General features: G+C 38.3%; 1 long non-coding RNA gene and 1 pseudogene across 5 annotated transcripts in view, besides 1 other annotated feature; one reads left to right on the top strand and one right to left on the bottom strand.

Annotated features, from left to right (window-relative positions):
* LOC107985251 (uncharacterized) overlaps positions 1-17362 on the top strand; it is a 195120-nt gene that overhangs the window by 119275 nt on the left and 58483 nt on the right. The window lies entirely within an intron of this gene.
* Positions 6598-7098: an enhancer, noted in NCBI's record as "H3K4me1 hESC enhancer chr1:207369102-207369602 (GRCh37/hg19 assembly coordinates)". NCBI's record gives its function as "activates a minimal SCP1, AML or CMV promoter by ChIP-STARR-seq in primed H9 embryonic stem cells {active_cell/tissue: H9 hESC(primed)}" and the evidence as "EXISTENCE:reporter gene assay evidence [ECO:0000049][PMID:30033119]".
* C4BPAP3 (C4BPA pseudogene 3) lies at positions 7548-8066 on the bottom strand (annotated as a pseudogene).

Below are 17362 nucleotides of genomic sequence, written 5' to 3'. Positions count from 1 at the left end.
CATTGCCTCCATGGAGTGTGTTTGCAGAAATCAAGTCAAAGAGGCTGGTATTCCCCCATGGAGTTCTATGTACAGAGAGAGAAGAGACAGCCAGAGAAGCTGAGATAAGAATGAGAAAGAGACTTCACAGGAAGCAACAGTCAGAAAAAGTGATGACTCGAAGGAATAGACGCCAGAGTACTGAGAGACATAAGGATTGATACAGGGTTTCTCCTCACGTGTATGACAGTTGCTCAAGCCATTTTAATATTAAGGAACAGTGACTAAATCAGATGGAAGCCTTGGGAATATGCTTAGGACTGACATGTGGGCTTCATCTTTGTGGAGTCCTGAGAAGATAGGTTAGCAACAATGAGGAGGGGGCCCTGGGGTGGGGAAGAGCAATTCTTCTGAGAAATTCTAGCCACAAACCACTATCTGGCACAACATCCTATTCCCAAATACCTCATTCCACACATAGCCCCTCCAGCATGACCCTGTAGAACTTCTCTCCAGCCCCTGCCTCTTGGCAGACAGCCTTCTCTCAGCTGCACTGCCCATTGCTCTTTTTTTTTTTTCATATATACATTATTTATATCCAGTGGTGTGCTACAGTCAGCATATACCAGCTCACAGAAAGCCAATTTTCAAATGTTTAGGAATCCTGCAAACTCATTGGCATCACATACATTAAAATCAGCCATTCTCTAGTATGGATACAAAACAATTTGCTTATCCATTCACCTGTCGTTGCATATTTAGTTTTTTTGTTTTTATTATTATTATTATTATTATTATTATTATTATTATTATACTATAAGTTCTAGGGTACATGTGCACAATGTGCAGGTTTGATACATAGGTATACATGTACCATGTTGGTTCACTGCACCCATCAACTTATCGATTACATTAGCTATTTCTCCTAATGCTATCCCTCCCCCAGGCCCCCACCCCCCAACAGGCCCCAGTGTGTGATGTTCCCCACCCTGTATCCAAGTGATCTCATTGTTCAATTCCCACCTATGAGTGAGAACATGCAGTGTTTGGTTTTCTGTCCTTGTGATAGTTTGCTCAAAACGATGCTTTCCAGCTTCATCCATGTCCCTGCAAAGGACATGAACTCATCCTTTTTTACGGCTGCATAGTATTCCATGGTGTATGTATGCCACAGTTTCTTAATCCAGTCTATCACTGATGGACATTTGGATTGGTTCCAAGTCTTTGCTATTGTGAATAGTGCCGCAATAAACATACATGTGCATGTGTCTTTATAGTAGCATGATTTATAATCCTCTGGGTATATACCCAGTAATGGGATTACTGAGTCAAATGGTAATTCTAGTTCTAGATCCTTGAGGAATTGCCACACTGTCTTCCACAATGGTTGAACTAATTCACACTCCCACCAACAGTGTAAAAACATTCCTAGTTCTCCACATTCTCTCCAGCATCTGTTGTTTCCTGACTTTTTAATGATTGCCTTTCTAGCTGGCGTGAGATGGTATCTCATTGTGGTTTTGATTTGCATTTCTCTGATGACCAGTGATGATGAGCATTTTTTCATCTGTCTGTTGGCTGCATAGATGTCTTCTTTTGAGAAGTATCTGTTCATATCCTTTGCCCACTTTTTGATGGGGTTGTTTGCTTTTTTCTTGTAAATTTGTTTTAGTTCTTTGTAGATTTTGGATATTAGCCCTTTGTCAGAAGCGTAGATTGCAAAAATTTTCTTCCATTCTGTAGGTTGTCTGTTCACTCTGATGGTAGTTTCTTTTGCTGTGCAGAAGCTCTTTAGTTTAATTAGATCCCTTTTGTCTATTTTGGCTTTTGTTGCCATTGCTTTTGGTGTTTTAGTCGTGAAGTCCTTGTCTATGCCTATGTCCTGAATGGTATTGCCTTGGTTTTCTTCTAGGGTTTTTATGGTTTTAGCTCTACCATTTAAGTCTTTAATCCATCTTGAATTAATTTTTGTATCAGGTGTAAGGAAGGGATCCAGTTTCAGCTTTCTACATATGGCTAGCCAGTTTAGTTTTCCCAGAACCATTTATTAAATAGGGAATCCTTTCCCCATTTCTTGTTTTTGTCAGGTTTGTCAAAGGTCATATGGTTGTAGATGTGTGGTGTTATTTCTGAGGGCTCTGTTCTGTTCCATTGGTCTATATATCTCTTTTGATACCAGTACCATGCTGTTTTGGTTACTGTAGCCTTGTAGTATAGTTTGAAGTCAGGTAGCGTGATGCCTCCAGCTTTGTTCTTTTGGCTTAGGATTGTCTGGGCAATGCGGGCTCTTTTTTGGTTCTATATGAAATTTAAAGTAGTTTTTTTTTTTCCAATTCTGTGAAGAAAATCATTGGTAGCTTGATGGGGATGGCATTGAATCTATAAATTACTTTGGGCAGTATGGTCATTTTCACAATATTGATTCTTCCTATCCATGAGCATGGAATATTCTTCCATTTGTTTGTGTCCTCTTTTATTTAGTTGAGCAGTGGTTTGTAGTTCTCCTTGAAGAGGTCCTTTACATCCCTTGTAAGTTGGATTCCTAGGTATTTTATTCTCTTTGTAGCAATTGTGAATGGGAGTTCACTCATGATTTGGCTCTCTGTCTGTTAATGGTGTATAGAAATGCTTGTGATTTTTACACATTGATTTTGTATCCTGAGACATTGCTGAATTTGCTTATCAGCTTAAGGAGATTTGGGGCTGAGACAATGGGGTTTTCTAAATATACAATTGTGTCATCTGCAAACAGGGACAATTTGACTTCCTCATTTCCTAATTGAATACCCTTTATTTCTTTCTCTTGCCTGATTGCCCTGGCCAGAACTTCCAACACTATGTTGAATAGGAGTGGTGAGAGAGGGCATCCTTTTCTTGTGCCGGTTTTCAAAGGGAATGCTTCCAGTTTTTGCCCATTCAGTATGATATTGGCTGTGGGTTTGTCATAGAGAGCTTTTATTATTTTGAGATACCTTCCATCAATACCTAGTTTATTGAGAGTTTTTAGCATGAAAGCCTGTTGAATTTTGTTGAAGGTCTTTTCTGCATCTATTGAGATAATCATGTGGTTTTTGTCATTAGTTCTATTTATGTGATGGATTATGTTTATTGATTTGAATGTGTTGAACCAGCCTTGCATCCCAGGGATGAAGCCAACTTGATTGTGGTGGATAAGCTTTTTGATGTGCTGCTGGATTTGGTTTGCCAGTATTTTATTGAGGATTTTTGCATCCATGTTCATCAGGGATATTGGTCTAAAATTCTCTTTTTTTGTTGTGTCTCTGCCAGGCTTTGGTATCAGGATGATGCTGGTCTTATAAAATGAGTTAGGGAGGATTCCCTCTTTTTCTATTGATTGGAATAGTTTCTGAAGGAATGGTACCAACTTCTCTTTGTACCTCTGGTAGAATTCAGCTGTGAATCCATCTGGTCCTGGTCCAGGCTCAATTTCAGAGCCTGTTATTTGTCTATTCAGATATTCAGCTTCTTCCTGGTTTAGTCTTGGGAGAGTGTATGTGTCCAGAAATTTATCCATTTCTTCTAGATTTTGTAGTTTATTTGCATAGAGATGTTTATAGTATTCTCTGATGGTAATTTGTATTTCTGTGGGATCGGTGGTGATATCCCCTTTATCATTTTTTATTGCGTCTATTTGATTCTTCTCTCCTTTCTTCTTTATTAGTCTTACTAGTGGTGTATCAATTTTGTTGATCTTTTCAAAAAACCAGCTCCTGGATTCATTGATTTTTTTGAAGGGTTCTTGTGTCTCTATGTCTTTGAGTTTGCTCTGCTCTTAATTATGTCTTGCCTTCTGTTAGCTTTTGAATTTATTTGCTCTTGTTTCTGTAGTTCTTTTAACTGTGATGTTAGAGTGTCACTTTTAGATCTTTCCTGCTTTCTCTTGTGGGCTTTTAGTGCTATAAATTTCCCTCTACACACTGCTTTAAATGTGTCCCAGAGATTCTGATATGTTGTGTCTTTGTTCTCATTGGTTTCGAAGAACATCTTTATTTCTGCCTTCATTTCTTTATGTACCCAGTAGTCATTCAGGAGCAGGTTGTTCAGTTTCCATGTAGTTGTGCAGTTTTGAGTGAGTTTCTTAATCCTGAGATCTAGTTTGACCGCACTGTGGTCTGAGAGACAGTTTGTAGTGATTTCTGTTCTTTTACATTTGCTGAGGAGTGCTTTACTTCCAATTATGTGGTGAATTTTAGAATAAGTGTGATGTGGTGCTGAGAAGAAGGTATATTCTGTTGCTTTGGGGTGGAGAGTTCTGTAGATGTCTATTAGGTCTACTTGTTGTGGAGCTGAGTTCAAATCCTTGTTAACCTTCTGTCTCATTGATCTAATATTGACAGTGGGGTGTTAAAGTCTCCCTTTATTATTGTGTGGGAATCTATGTCTCTTTGTAGGTTTCTAAGGACTTGCTTTATGAATCTGGGTGCTCCTGTATTGGGGGCATGTATATTTAGGATAGTTAGCTCTTATTGTTGAATTGATCCATTTACCATTATGTAATGGCCTTCTTTGTCTCTTTTGATCTTTGTTGGTTTAAAGTCTGTTTTATCAGAGACTAGGATTGCAACCGCTGCCTTTTTTTTTTTTTTTTTTTTTTTTTGCTTTCCATTTTCTTGGTAGATCTTTCTCCATCCCTTTATTTTGAGCCTATGTGCATCTTTGCATATGAGATGGGTCTCCTGAATACAGCACACTGATGGGTCTTGACTCCTTATCCAGTTTTCCAGTCTGTGTCTTTTAATTGGGGCATTTAGCCCATTTACATTTAAGGTTAATATTGCTATGTATGAATTTGATTGTGTCATTATGATGGTCACTGGTTATTTTGCCTGTTAATTGATACAGTTTCTTCATAGCATTGATGGTCTCTACCATTTGGCATGTTTTTGCAGTGGCTGGTACTGGTTGTTTCTTTCCATGTTTAGTGCTTCCTTCAGGAGCTCTTGTAAGGCAGGCCTAGTGGTGACAAAATCTTTCAGCATTTGCTTGTCTGTAAAGGATTTTATTTCTCCTTCACTTATGAAGCTTAGTTTGGCTGGATATGAAATTCTGGGTTGAAAATTCTTTTCTTTAAGAATGTTGAATATTGGTCCCCCCTCTTTTCTGGCTTGTAGGGTTTCTGCCGAGAGATCCACTGTTAGTCTGATGGGCTTATGGCTGCCCTTAACACTTTTTCCTTCATTTCAACCTTGGTGAATCCAACAATTATGTGTCTTGGGGTTGCTCTTCTTAAGGAGTATGTTTGTGGTGTTCTCTGTATTTCTTGAATTTGAATGTTAGCCTGTCTTGCTAGGTTGGGGAAGTTCTCGTGGATAATATACTGAAGAGTGTTTTCTAACTTGGTTCCATTCTCCCCATCACTTTCAGGCAGGTACGCCAATCAAACATAGATTTGGCCTTTTCACATAGCCCCATATTTCTTGAAGGCTTGTTTATTTCTTTTTACTCTTTTGTCTCTAACCTTGTCTTCTCACTTTATTTCATTAATTTGATCTTCAATCACTGATACCCTTTCTTCCTTTTGATCGAATTAGCTATTAAGCTTGTGCATGCATCATGAATTTCTCATGCCATGGTTTTCAGCTCCATCAGGTCATTTAAGGTCTTCTCTACACTGTTTATTCCAGTTAGCCATTCATCTAATCTTTTTTCAGGGTTGTTAGCTTCCTTCTGATGGGTTCAAACATCCTCCTTTAGCTTGGAGAAGTTTGTTATTACCGACCTTCTGAAGCCTACTTCTGTCAGCTCATCAAAGTCATTATCCATCCAGCTTTGTGCCATTGCTGGTGAGGAGCTGCAATCCTTTGGAGGAGAAGAGGCACTCTAATTTTTAGAATTTTCAGCTTTTCTGCTCTGGTTTCTCCCCATCTTTGTGGTAGTATCTATCTTTGGTCTTTGATATTGGTGACCTACAGGTGGGGTTTTGGTGTAGATGACCTTTTTGTTGATGCTATTCCTTTCTGTTTGTCAGTTTTCCTTCTAACAGTCAAGCCCCTCAGCTGCAGGTCTGTTGGAGTTTGCTGGAGGTCCACTCCAGACCCTGTTTGCCTGGGTATCACCAGCAGAGGCTGCAGAACAGCAAATATTGCAGAACAGCAAATATTGCTGCCTGATCCTTCTTCTGAAAGCTTTGTCCCAGAGGGGCAGCTGCCTATATGAGGTGTCTATCAGCCCCTACTGGGAGGTGTCTCCCAGTTAGGCTACACAGGGTTCAGGGACCCACTTGAGGAAGCAGTCTGTCCATTCTCTGAGCTCAAACACCGTGCTGGGAGAACCACTGCTCTCTTCAGAGCTGTCAGACAGGGACGTTTAAGTCTGCAGAAGTTGTCTGCTGCCTTTTATTCAGCTATGCCCTGCCCACAGAGGTGGAGTCTAGAGGCAGTGGGCCTTGTTGAGCTGCAGTGGGCTCCACCCAGTTTGAGCTTCCTGGCCATTTTGTTTACCTATTCAAGCCTCAGCAATGGCAGACGCCCCTCCCCCAGCCAGGGTGCTGCCTCACAGTTCAGTCTCAGACTGCTGCGCTAGCAGTGAGCAAGGCTCCATGGGCGTGGGACCTGCCAAGCCAGCCATGGGAGAGAACCTCCTTGTCTGCCAGTTGCATAAGACCTTGGGAAAAGTGCAGTATTTTGGCGGGAGTGTCCAGTTTTTCCAGGTAGTCTGTCATGGCTTCCTTCAGCTAGGAAAGGGAAATCCCCCGACCTCTTGTGCTTCCCGGGTGAGGCGACGCCCCATCCTGCTTCAGCTCGCCCTCCATGGGCTGCACCCACTGTCCAACCAGTCCCAATGCGATGAACCAGGTACCTCAGTTGGAAATGCAGAAATCACCTGTCTTCTGTGTCGATCACGCTGGGAACTGCAGACCGGAGCTCTTTCTATTCAGCCATCTTCACCCGTTGCTCTCTTGCAACATATCTTCGTATTTTAATATTTTTTGTAATAAACCTGCCTTTCTTCACCTAAGACTGTCTTGGTAAGTTTGTTTACCACCTGCAAGGCTGGCCCCAGCCAGTTGCAACCCACGACAATATTCATCCCTATTTTAGAGTTCCTTCTTTGGAGTTGAAACAAGGAGGTCAAACACAAATGAAAATCCCCTTCATGGAAGGCAACAGTTGAGATGTGGCATGAATGAAAGAGGCAACATGCACAAGAGTTCAGGGGAGGGCATGCCTCCCTCAAATAGAAAGATTGGAAGAGTCTTTGAGGGTGTGTTGATGTTTAGTCTGAACATAGAGGACCTGAGAGGTGTGCACACATGGAACTGTGGAGTAAAGGCAGTCCAGGGACACATATTGGTGGAAAGCCAAGTATGCACTTCTAAGGTCTACACAGTAAAATAAAAGTATTAACTTATGAAGTGGGTTTTTTAGGACTCTCATTTGCTGGGCTCTTAAATGATTACAAAGACAAAGTAGTTCTGATATGTGAATATTAATCACCATGAAATTGGAGCTAAAGGTATGGTAGAGATGCAAAACAGAAGTGATCCATATTGAATGAAAGCAACAAGGCCACAAGGCATCTTTTTTTCCCTCTTTTGGGAAAAATTATAGTTATTTTTCCAGAGTGGATCATCTTCCCTTGTATCTCTAGTTCCAGTAGGTCAATCTCTGGAGACAGCTTATACACCTCCAGCGCCATTTTCACATTGTCTGGGTTTGGGAGACACTGCATGAGTTTTCTGCCTGGGAGTGCTTGCTCAGGGACTCCTAAATGAAATATAGGTGCTGGATGTCCTTTGTAGTTTTTGCATTGGGTATCATCTCCATATATTAATTATTTAAAATAAATCAAATAGAATGTTTTTGTGCTGCCTCTAGCAGAGGAGAAACTTTGCTCTCAGTGCTCTAATGACAGTTCCACCCACGTAGTCATGGACTGAAAAGGGAGCTGGAGTTACTTTTACATTGAGGGGCTGGAGATGACCAGCAGGAAGAAATGCAGGTGAGTTTCACCTGTCCGATCACAGTGTAGCCTTCATCACATTTATATACAGCCTCATTTTTGAAACAGTTGCATAAATTAACTTGTTTAGGATGCCCATGGGCAAAACTAGGGGCAAAACTGCAATTTGATGGTGAGATACAAACGTGACAGAGCACGAGGTTATAGAATGTACAAAATAGCACATCCCAGAATGCATGTTATTTGTAGGAGGCTTTATTCTGTCCTTCCATCCTCTCTGCCCATAAAATCACTTGGCTAAACCTTCATACTTGTGTGGCCATCCTGTCAGCCTCAGGCTGAGGAACTGTAGAAAGGCTCAAGTTATAGACCTTACATTTTCCACCATCTTACTAACAAGCTCACTCAACTTGACATTGTTTAGGAACCATTTTGGCATGAAGGCTGGATTCAGCCTAAAGTCATATTATACTCATGCTACCCTTAGTCCCTTGCAAGCTAAATGCAGAGATGTGCATCTGTGAGAAACTGTGAGAAAGTTACATCATCCACAATCCCTGAGTCATTGCTCCCCAATCAAAACTGTCCATTCGGGTTATTATTAAAAAGTCAAAAAATAACAGATTCTGGTGAGGATGCAGAGAAAAGGGAACACTTATATTGCTAGTGGGAATGTAAATTAGTTCAGCCACTGTGAAAACAGCTTGATGATTTCCAAAAGTACTTAAAACAAAACTACCATTTGACTCAGCAATCCCATTATGGGGTATATACCCAAAGGAATATAAATTGTTCTACCATAAAGACACATGCATGCGTATGTTCACTGCGGCACTATTCACAATAGCAAAGATATGAAATCAACCTAAATGACCATCAACAGTAGACTGGATAAAGAAAATATGGTACATATACACCATGAAATACTATGCAGGCATAAAAAGAATGAAATCATGTCCTTTGCAGCAACATGAATGGAGCTAGAGGCCATTGCTATAAGTGAACTAATGTAGGAATGGAATACCAAATACTGCATGTTCTCACTTATAAATGGAAGCTAAACATTGAGTACATGTGGACACAAAGAAGGAAACAATGGACACCAGATCCTACTTGAGGGTGAAGGATAGGAGGAGGGAGAAGATAAAAAATCTGCCCATCAGGTACTGTGCTTATTACCTGGGCAATAAAATAATGTGTCCACCAAACCCCCATATGCAATTTACCTATATAACAAACCTGCACATGTACCCCTGCAACTAAAACAAAATTAGAAAAAAAAACTGTTTATTCATCCTCACCAAGAATATACTTACTGCATTTTAAGATATTTTAGAAAATGACTCATAGAAATAATAAAAATGGGGACTTGCACATTGAAATAAATAGGACATGGCACAGAGCACTTCACTGAAAAGAAACACTGTCAGGGTCCACAAACACTGCATGAGGAAGTTGAACAGAATAGAGCAGCAGGAATGTCAGACAAAGTACCATGCCAAGGTAAGAATTTTCTCTTAAGGCTGAAACCAAGTAATAATGCCTTCCAAATTGTTATTTACTGGGAATAAGAATTTAAAACATTGATCTACACATGGGTATTTAGAAAACCCTCTCCTGGCCTTTCTCATGGATCCTTCAACCTTAATCATCACTATTTTTTAATTCGTCCTCTTTATAGACTAATCCACCTAGCCATTGGTCCCCAAATACATCATACACATTTTCACAGGGGTACCTGTGCTCATATCATCTCTCCTACCTAGAATGCCATCCTTTCTTTTCTCCTTGCTGCTCAAGTGCCAAATGCTCTGTGTGAAGACTTCTCTTTACTTCTCCAGCAAGCAGTCGTCATTTATTTCTCTAAGCTCCTATAGCAGTTATTAGGAAGAGATTATATATCATATCCAACTGCTTGCTGAGATCTTACTATAGTCTATACTACATTGCATATATCACACATTTTATATATATGAATGTATAGTATGTATATTACTTATCTTTTATATATATACATGTATAGTATGAATACTATGTATTCTATGACACTGTATATGTCCTACATAGTATATGTATGCTACATATAGCGTATATACTATGATACTACAGACATAATATATTCATAATTGAAACACCTTATATATATTATATCATCCAATGATCACAATACCCCTAACAGATACTCATTATCATCTTCCCTACCTTTTAAAGAAGAAAACATCTCCATGGAGAAGAACTTTGCTCTATGTTAAGCAGCTACTGAGTGACAGAAACAGAGTTGGAACTGAGGTCTATTTTGCTCAAAAGTTCACATCCTCTATGGCTTCAGTCTATACTGTCTATCTGCTATTTAACAACTGAGTTATACTCTCCTTATTAATAATTTCTTTCTGTTTTGACAGTAGAGAACATGTCTCAAGTATCTTTGTGTCTTTTTGACATGATAGGTTCAAAATAAATGTTCACCTATGTATAAGTCTAGGGCTCACAAATGAAATGTCCTGAGCCTCAGATCAAACGCATTATTAGGAAAAGTCTTTTTATGATGAGTCCAGCAAACACTTATGTGAATTCACCCCCATAAGACTGTTCAGCAGACATCAAGGCACATCTTTGGATACTGTAAGGAAAATAAGTCATAACCACATGAATAGCAAAACCATAATACCAGTCAGCTTATGGTAATATCCAAAGACAAGGGAAGCCAGCAAGAAGGGTATAATAAGAAAGAAGGAACGAGAGAGAACCAACACAGAAAAGGATAAGACAACATTTCTTGGAGGAGATTTGAAATATATATTTTGAAGTTTAGATTAAAATCTGCTTAAATGGGTGAGATGTGGGTAGGCTTTTCATGTTAGAGTAATGGTTTAGGCAAAGGCTTAAAGGCAGCAGAAAGTTTTTATTGACAGAAGAAAAAGAGGCAAACTTAGAAACCAGATTGTGAAAGATTTGGGCATAAGTGACACTGCAGGCAAAGTAGGATTTTGAGGAACTAGAAGAACAGGGGATAAATATGGAGAAACCCGGAGGAACAACTCTCTGTGACCTGTTAGACATAGTCTACCTTCACTGCCTCAGAAACAAGAGGAGACCTGGAAGGTCACGGTAACGGTGCCCAGGGAAAACAGTAAGAGGGTTGGAGTGGAGTATGGCTTTGGAAGAATCACAAATTTAGCCATTTCATTTTCCAGGAAAGAAGAATAACCCGGGATAAAGGAATTCATTTAACCTTAGAGTTTCCCTTAAAATATCCATTATTTTGATTAAAAATAAAAAGAGACCTCTTCCAAAGTAAAACATTTTAAAATTCTCCTTAGAAGAAATTCAGAAGTCACCTTGTGATATTAAGAAAGTTCAAAGGATGAACAACATGGCATCATTCTGGGGCACTAGAAATTAATCTGGACATAAAAGACTACACATTGGGTACAGTGTACACTGCTCAGGTGATGGGTGCACCAAAATCTCAGAAATCACCACTAAAGAACTTATTCATGTAACCAAACCCCTGTTCCCCAAAAGACTATTGAAATTTAAAAAAGAAAAAGATAAATTAATCTTGACAAATTATCTCAATGCTTTTGCCAGGTTGACAGAATGGCATTGTGGGACACCACATTCTCTCTGATCAGCATAAAATCTTTCTATCTTCAGAACTGGGAAAATCCCTGACAGCACATGAATATGAAATATGGTCACCATAGAGATGGACATAGCTATTGGTGAAATATTTTCTTCTCTGTTGAGTGATTTTGAAATTCTATGCAAATGCTCTACTTTAAGTGTTCTGATAGATGGCATAAGGGATGTGTGTAAAAATATTTTTTAATACTTTTAGGAAAGTTTTCTTTTAAAAAAGAAATCATATCAGAAGAAAAAAATTACTTTTTATTAGCATTCTTAATTTATAAATTAAAACAATTACATCTGCATGTATAGCCAGCACTACGCTAGTGGGACCTACAAGTTCTCACAGACTCTTTCAGTGCTCTTGGTAAGGTAGAATTATTCCCTAAATTACAATAAAATACCTTACATCCTATATAATGTTTTCAGTTTACTCAATGCTTTATAATTTTACTTTAGTAAATGCACTCATTATTTGTAACAACATAAAATTTTCCTTTCTAAATGACAAAAATCTTCTCAATTATTAATGCAATAGAAAAAAATCAACCCTTTAGAATAGCTAATTTTAAATTATTTGACAGTATCCATTTAAACATAATTTTATGTAACATACATTAATATAAAAACTAAAGGTTTTTGTTAGATCAGCTTCTCAAAGATTTATATAATATTTTGCTTTCCAAATAACTAAAGATTATGTCAAAAGAACTAAAACTATTTAAATATATTTCTTAATAATGTACTTCATTGTATTTCTCCAAAATTATACCAAATTATTACCATTTGATCATACTGCACTAATTTTTAACCAGGAATTCTTCACCATATCTTGATTTAAACTACCCCTCTTGTTCTCTTCTTCCCCATAACCTCAGTACTCACCACACAGGACAGCTAGAAACCACAGAAGAGACAGGACCCTGGGGAGGCAGTGCTGGGAAGATTCCCTGCAACTTGGGAGGCATTGTGCAGAATCTCAGACACAGCACTTGGCTCAGCATTCTCAGACACCCTAAATCAGATGAAAGTTGGTGCTCCAAATCTCTAGTAAATTGATGCCTGAACCAAGAAACTAAGTCTTGGGAAGGCCACAGCTTTGAGTCACTGAAGGGCAGGGCAGAGTTGGGTAGATCAGGTTCAGGACAAGACCAATAGGGAGCAATCCAATAAAGCTCCAGATCTTGGGGGAACAATATGAGCTGGACATGAGAGTTCTGGGATTTGGTGGATATTTATACTCATTACCACAAGACTTTCTCACTGTCTTTCTTTCCCTTGTTATCAGGGGCACTTGATTGCTTGTTGTCTACGTATATACATCATTTATTTCCAAGTAATCAAGGCACAGTTTAGATGTGTGTCATGTTCTTCAGGTATCAGGGTGAGATGCTGAGACATGTTTTACACCATCTCCCAGAGGTGTCAGATCTTCAGTCACTACTGTGATCTCCCAATAGGCAGGAAAAAATTTCAAAAAATCTATAGTTAAATGTTCTTCCTAAACACTCCACAGCCTAAGTGGAATAGAGAATGCATGCAAGTTTATAATTGTAAAAAAAAATCCAAAAATATAGTTCAAACAATTACTCCCTCAATATTTATGTTTTCTCGATGTATCTATGATATCAAATTATTCATCCACACTAATTGGAAAGTAAAGGAAAGTTTCTCAGAGTGGTGTGTACAGCACAGATAAAGCCTGTGTGAAAAATTAAATGGTAGAGGATGAAGCATTATAAATATAGAAAGGATCATGATGACTTTAAGAACTTTTCAGTGGTGCTGGATCCAAGTAGAGGCCCTTCCCTTCCAGTATTATATCTCTGACAAAAGCGCAAAAAGATAAGTTGTAAAACGTTAACAATAAGTTGTATTTGCTAAACCTAGGACTTAGTTTATTAATAACTATCTGGGTTAAGACTGGTCCATTAATAACTACCTAAGTCATATGCCTGAATTATTTCTTTTAGTCTCCATGAAGTGAAAAGGTGAAGATAACAGCTTGGATTTCATATTTTGCCCCTTGGAGAAGCTATGTATATTTGTTACTTGAGTATACACAAATATTCATCCACAGAGGACAATGAACGCTGAAAAAATATCCAAAAATGACCTTTAACACCAAGCTGAGTGGTAATGAGTATAATAGGCACATAACAACCAAAGTGCTTAACTCTCAAAAATAAAGAGGAACATTTCCCAGAAATAAATGGGTGGAGTTCTTTGTAAATATTGCTGACAGCACAATTGAATTTCAACCTTCCTAGAAAGAAAGGAAAACAAATGAACCCATCATGTGGTTTGATTCATCTGATAAACAGGAACTAAAATAAAATCTGACTATGTAGATAGAAGAGGTCATTTAAATAGTTAAGTAGAATATTGTTTTTAAGAAACAGCTTCTGCTTATTAAACATGTTCCAAACTTTTACATAAATTATTGCATTTAATTTCTTAAAGCAAACCTATAACATGGATATTAGTAGACATATTTTATAGAGGAAACTTATTCGGAAAGACTGAGTATACTTTTCTAAATTTTTCTGATCAGTGGCAAAATCAGATTCTGAATCCAAGTCTGATTCAAATCCCAAGCTCTTTTCACTATGTCAAACTAATTGCATTTAATGAAATCAGACTAAGCTTTTTTATGTGGAACTCTGTGCCTATCACTTAGGAGAGTATGCCTAAGGACTTTCTGCTTTTACTATGGTGGAAAAGACTCTGAACTGCCCATTTTATCAGGAGACCAAATCCTCATATAACCTACCAAGAATCATGTGGCTTAGTCATGAGACTGTGACCCAGGCCTTCATCTCCACATATGTTTAAAGAAGAGCTTGGAATTAGAATGGTCTCTATGATATTTCCAGTAGAGATATTTTAAGCTCGTGCAGTAATGGAAAAAATAAAGTGCAAAAAAATAGGAATTTATTGTCTTAAATAAAGGACAAGAAAAGCAGAAATTGGGTTGACAATAATGAGGTATAAAACCTTACTCCTATAGCTCAACTCACCATGAAATAATCATATTAACACCTGTATCAGTCCATTTTCATGGTGCTGATAATACCAGAGATTGGGTAATTTATAAAGAAAAAGAGATTTAATGGACTCCCAGTTCCATGTGGCTGGGGGGAGCCTCACAATCATGGCAGAAGGTGAAAGTCATGTCTTACATGGTGGCAGGCAAGAGAGAAATGAAAACCAAACAAAAGGGGTTTCCCCTTATAAAACTATCAGCTCTCATGAGACTTATTTACTACCATGAGAACAGTATGGGGGAAACCACCCCTATGATTCAATTATCTCCCACCAGGTCCCTCCCACAACACATGGGAACTATGGGAGCTACAATTCAAGATGAGATTTGGGTGGGGACACAGCCAAACCATATCAACCCCTACTGAATGAACAAAATATGTGAATGTAAAAGAACTTGCCTTAGCCCACCAAGATGCAGTCCTTGGGAAGAACTTTATGAAATTTATGAGATCCTAGAATACACCATTAAAGGAATAAGGATGTAAAAATGGGAGAGAAGAAAATAAATACAGTTTACATTGGCGAGCAAGTTACCTTTGTGGTTTACTGAAGCTAAACCCCTTAAGGAACCTCAGGTAGAGAGTGTAGAACATGCCTCAGAGATTGCCTACCTGTGGATTAAGAAAGCTGGCATTTATATCTACCAACATCCATCTTGGTACCATATCCAAGGGAGGCCAGCCAATCACTTGGGTTCCTATCATGGAAGATACAGTGATTTGCCTCTGCAGCAGTAGATTCTTGAATGGATTTGGATTTATCATCCCTATGGCAAGGCTTCTTGCAGCCATACCATCTGCGGACTTGCTAAATGCTTTATTTGCTGTTATGGGAGGACATACATTATTACTTCTGATCAAGGAATTCACTTGATGATGAAATAATATAAGTCAATGAAATGATGTTCCTGAGATTCACTGGTCCTATGTGGTATTCCATCACAGAAGCAGCTGACATTATGAAAGAGTGCAATGGTATACTGAATGCCCAAGAAGCTAAGAAAGAATGCCTTATGAACTTGGAGTATAGACCTATAGCATATGGTATATTTTCTTTTCTTTTCTTTTCTTTTCTTTTCTTTTCTTTCCTTTCCTTTTCTTTTCTTTCCTTTTCTTTTCTTTTCTTTTCTTTTCTTTTCTTTTCTTTTCTTTTCTTTTCTTTTGAGACAGAGTCTTGCTCTGTCACCCAGGCTGGAGTGCAGTGGCACAATCTCAGCTCACTGCAACTTCCACCTCCCAAGTTCAAGCAAGTCTCGTGCCTCAGCCTCCCAAGTAGCTAGGATTACAGGCATGCACCACCATCCCTAGCTAATTTTTGTATTTGTAGTAGAGATGGGGTTTCACCACGTTGGTCAGACTCGTCTTGAACTCCTGGCCTCAAGAGATCCACCCACCTTGGCCTCCCAAAGTGCTGGGATTACAGGCGTGGGATACTATACCCAGCCAGGATATGATATATTTCCTAAAATAGTAGTTGATAGTTGGAGCTATTCTGAAGTGGCCAGACTAGTAAACCAAAGGGCAGATATCACATAAAGGCAGAGATGCCTGAGGAGTCCCAGTTGTTCTAGCCCTCAGCTTGTTAAGTCTTCCCAGCTCAGATACCAGACATGTGAGTAAGCAAATCTTTAGATGATTCCAGCTCCCAGTCTATGAGACACCTCTACTGATGCTGAGTAGAGCAAAGTCAACCTCCACAAAGTTCTGCCCAGACTGCAGATTTATGAACAAAGTAAATGTTACCATTTTAAGCCACTAAGCAAGTTTTGGGGTAATTTATTATGCAGCAACAAATAACATTACAGCATCCTCTACATTAACAGAAAAAATGTTTTTGATAACTTCGCTAGATGCAGAAAACATACTTGATAAAATTCAACAACAATTTATGATAAAAATGGAAACCTCTTAGAAAATTAGGAATGAAAAGAAACTTTCTCAATCAGACAAGATCGAGCATGTTCAGGGTGGTATGGCCATAGATATACTACATAATAGTGAGCCATTAAAAGTTTTTCTCTTGAGATCAATAAGAAGACGTGAACAATTGCTATATTCACTTCCATTGTACGTTGAATTGCGGTCCCATTCATGGGAATAGAATGTTAGCTAAGTAAATAGATAGATAGGAAGGCAGGCAGATATATAGATAGATAGATAGATAGATAGATAGATAGATAGATAGATAGATAAATGGTAGGAGGGGGAAGGAAGGCAAACTGTTATTTCTCACAGGTGACATAATTAGGAATTTTAAAAAGCCAAAGACATATAAAAAATTAATTAGAATTAGCTGATTATCAAATAAAATATCAACAATCAAAAACAATTATCTACTGTCCAAAAATTATATAAAAAGATTTTTGTATAAATGTAAAACTTAAAATGCCAGGTGCCTAGAGGTAAGTTCAATGAGAGATGTATAAGAGCTCTTCACTGAAAGCTAGAGATAAATAAAAGATATAAATAAATGTAGGAAAATACCATGTTTATGGATTAGAAGGCACAATGTTGTATAGATATCAATTCCTCCCAAATTCATACATCAATCAAATGCATTCTAATAAAAATTTCAAAAGAATTTTGGTGAAAATTGACAAGCTGATTTTAAAATTCATTTAAGTGCAAAGGAGCAAAGTTGTCAATGTAATCTAAAGAGGCGGTGGAGGAGGAATAGGAGAAGGACCCACATTGCCAGATATTAAGGCTCATTATGAAGCTGTAGTAAAGAAGACATTGTGGTATTGGCGTAAGATAGCCAAACAGACCAAGGGCTAACAACT

Source organism: Homo sapiens, chromosome 1 (assembly GCF_000001405.40).
Source record: "Homo sapiens chromosome 1, GRCh38.p14 Primary Assembly".
NCBI lineage: Eukaryota > Metazoa > Chordata > Mammalia > Primates > Hominidae > Homo > Homo sapiens.
Note: the sequence above shows the minus strand (reverse complement) of the source record. Positions and strands in the feature narration are given on the sequence as shown.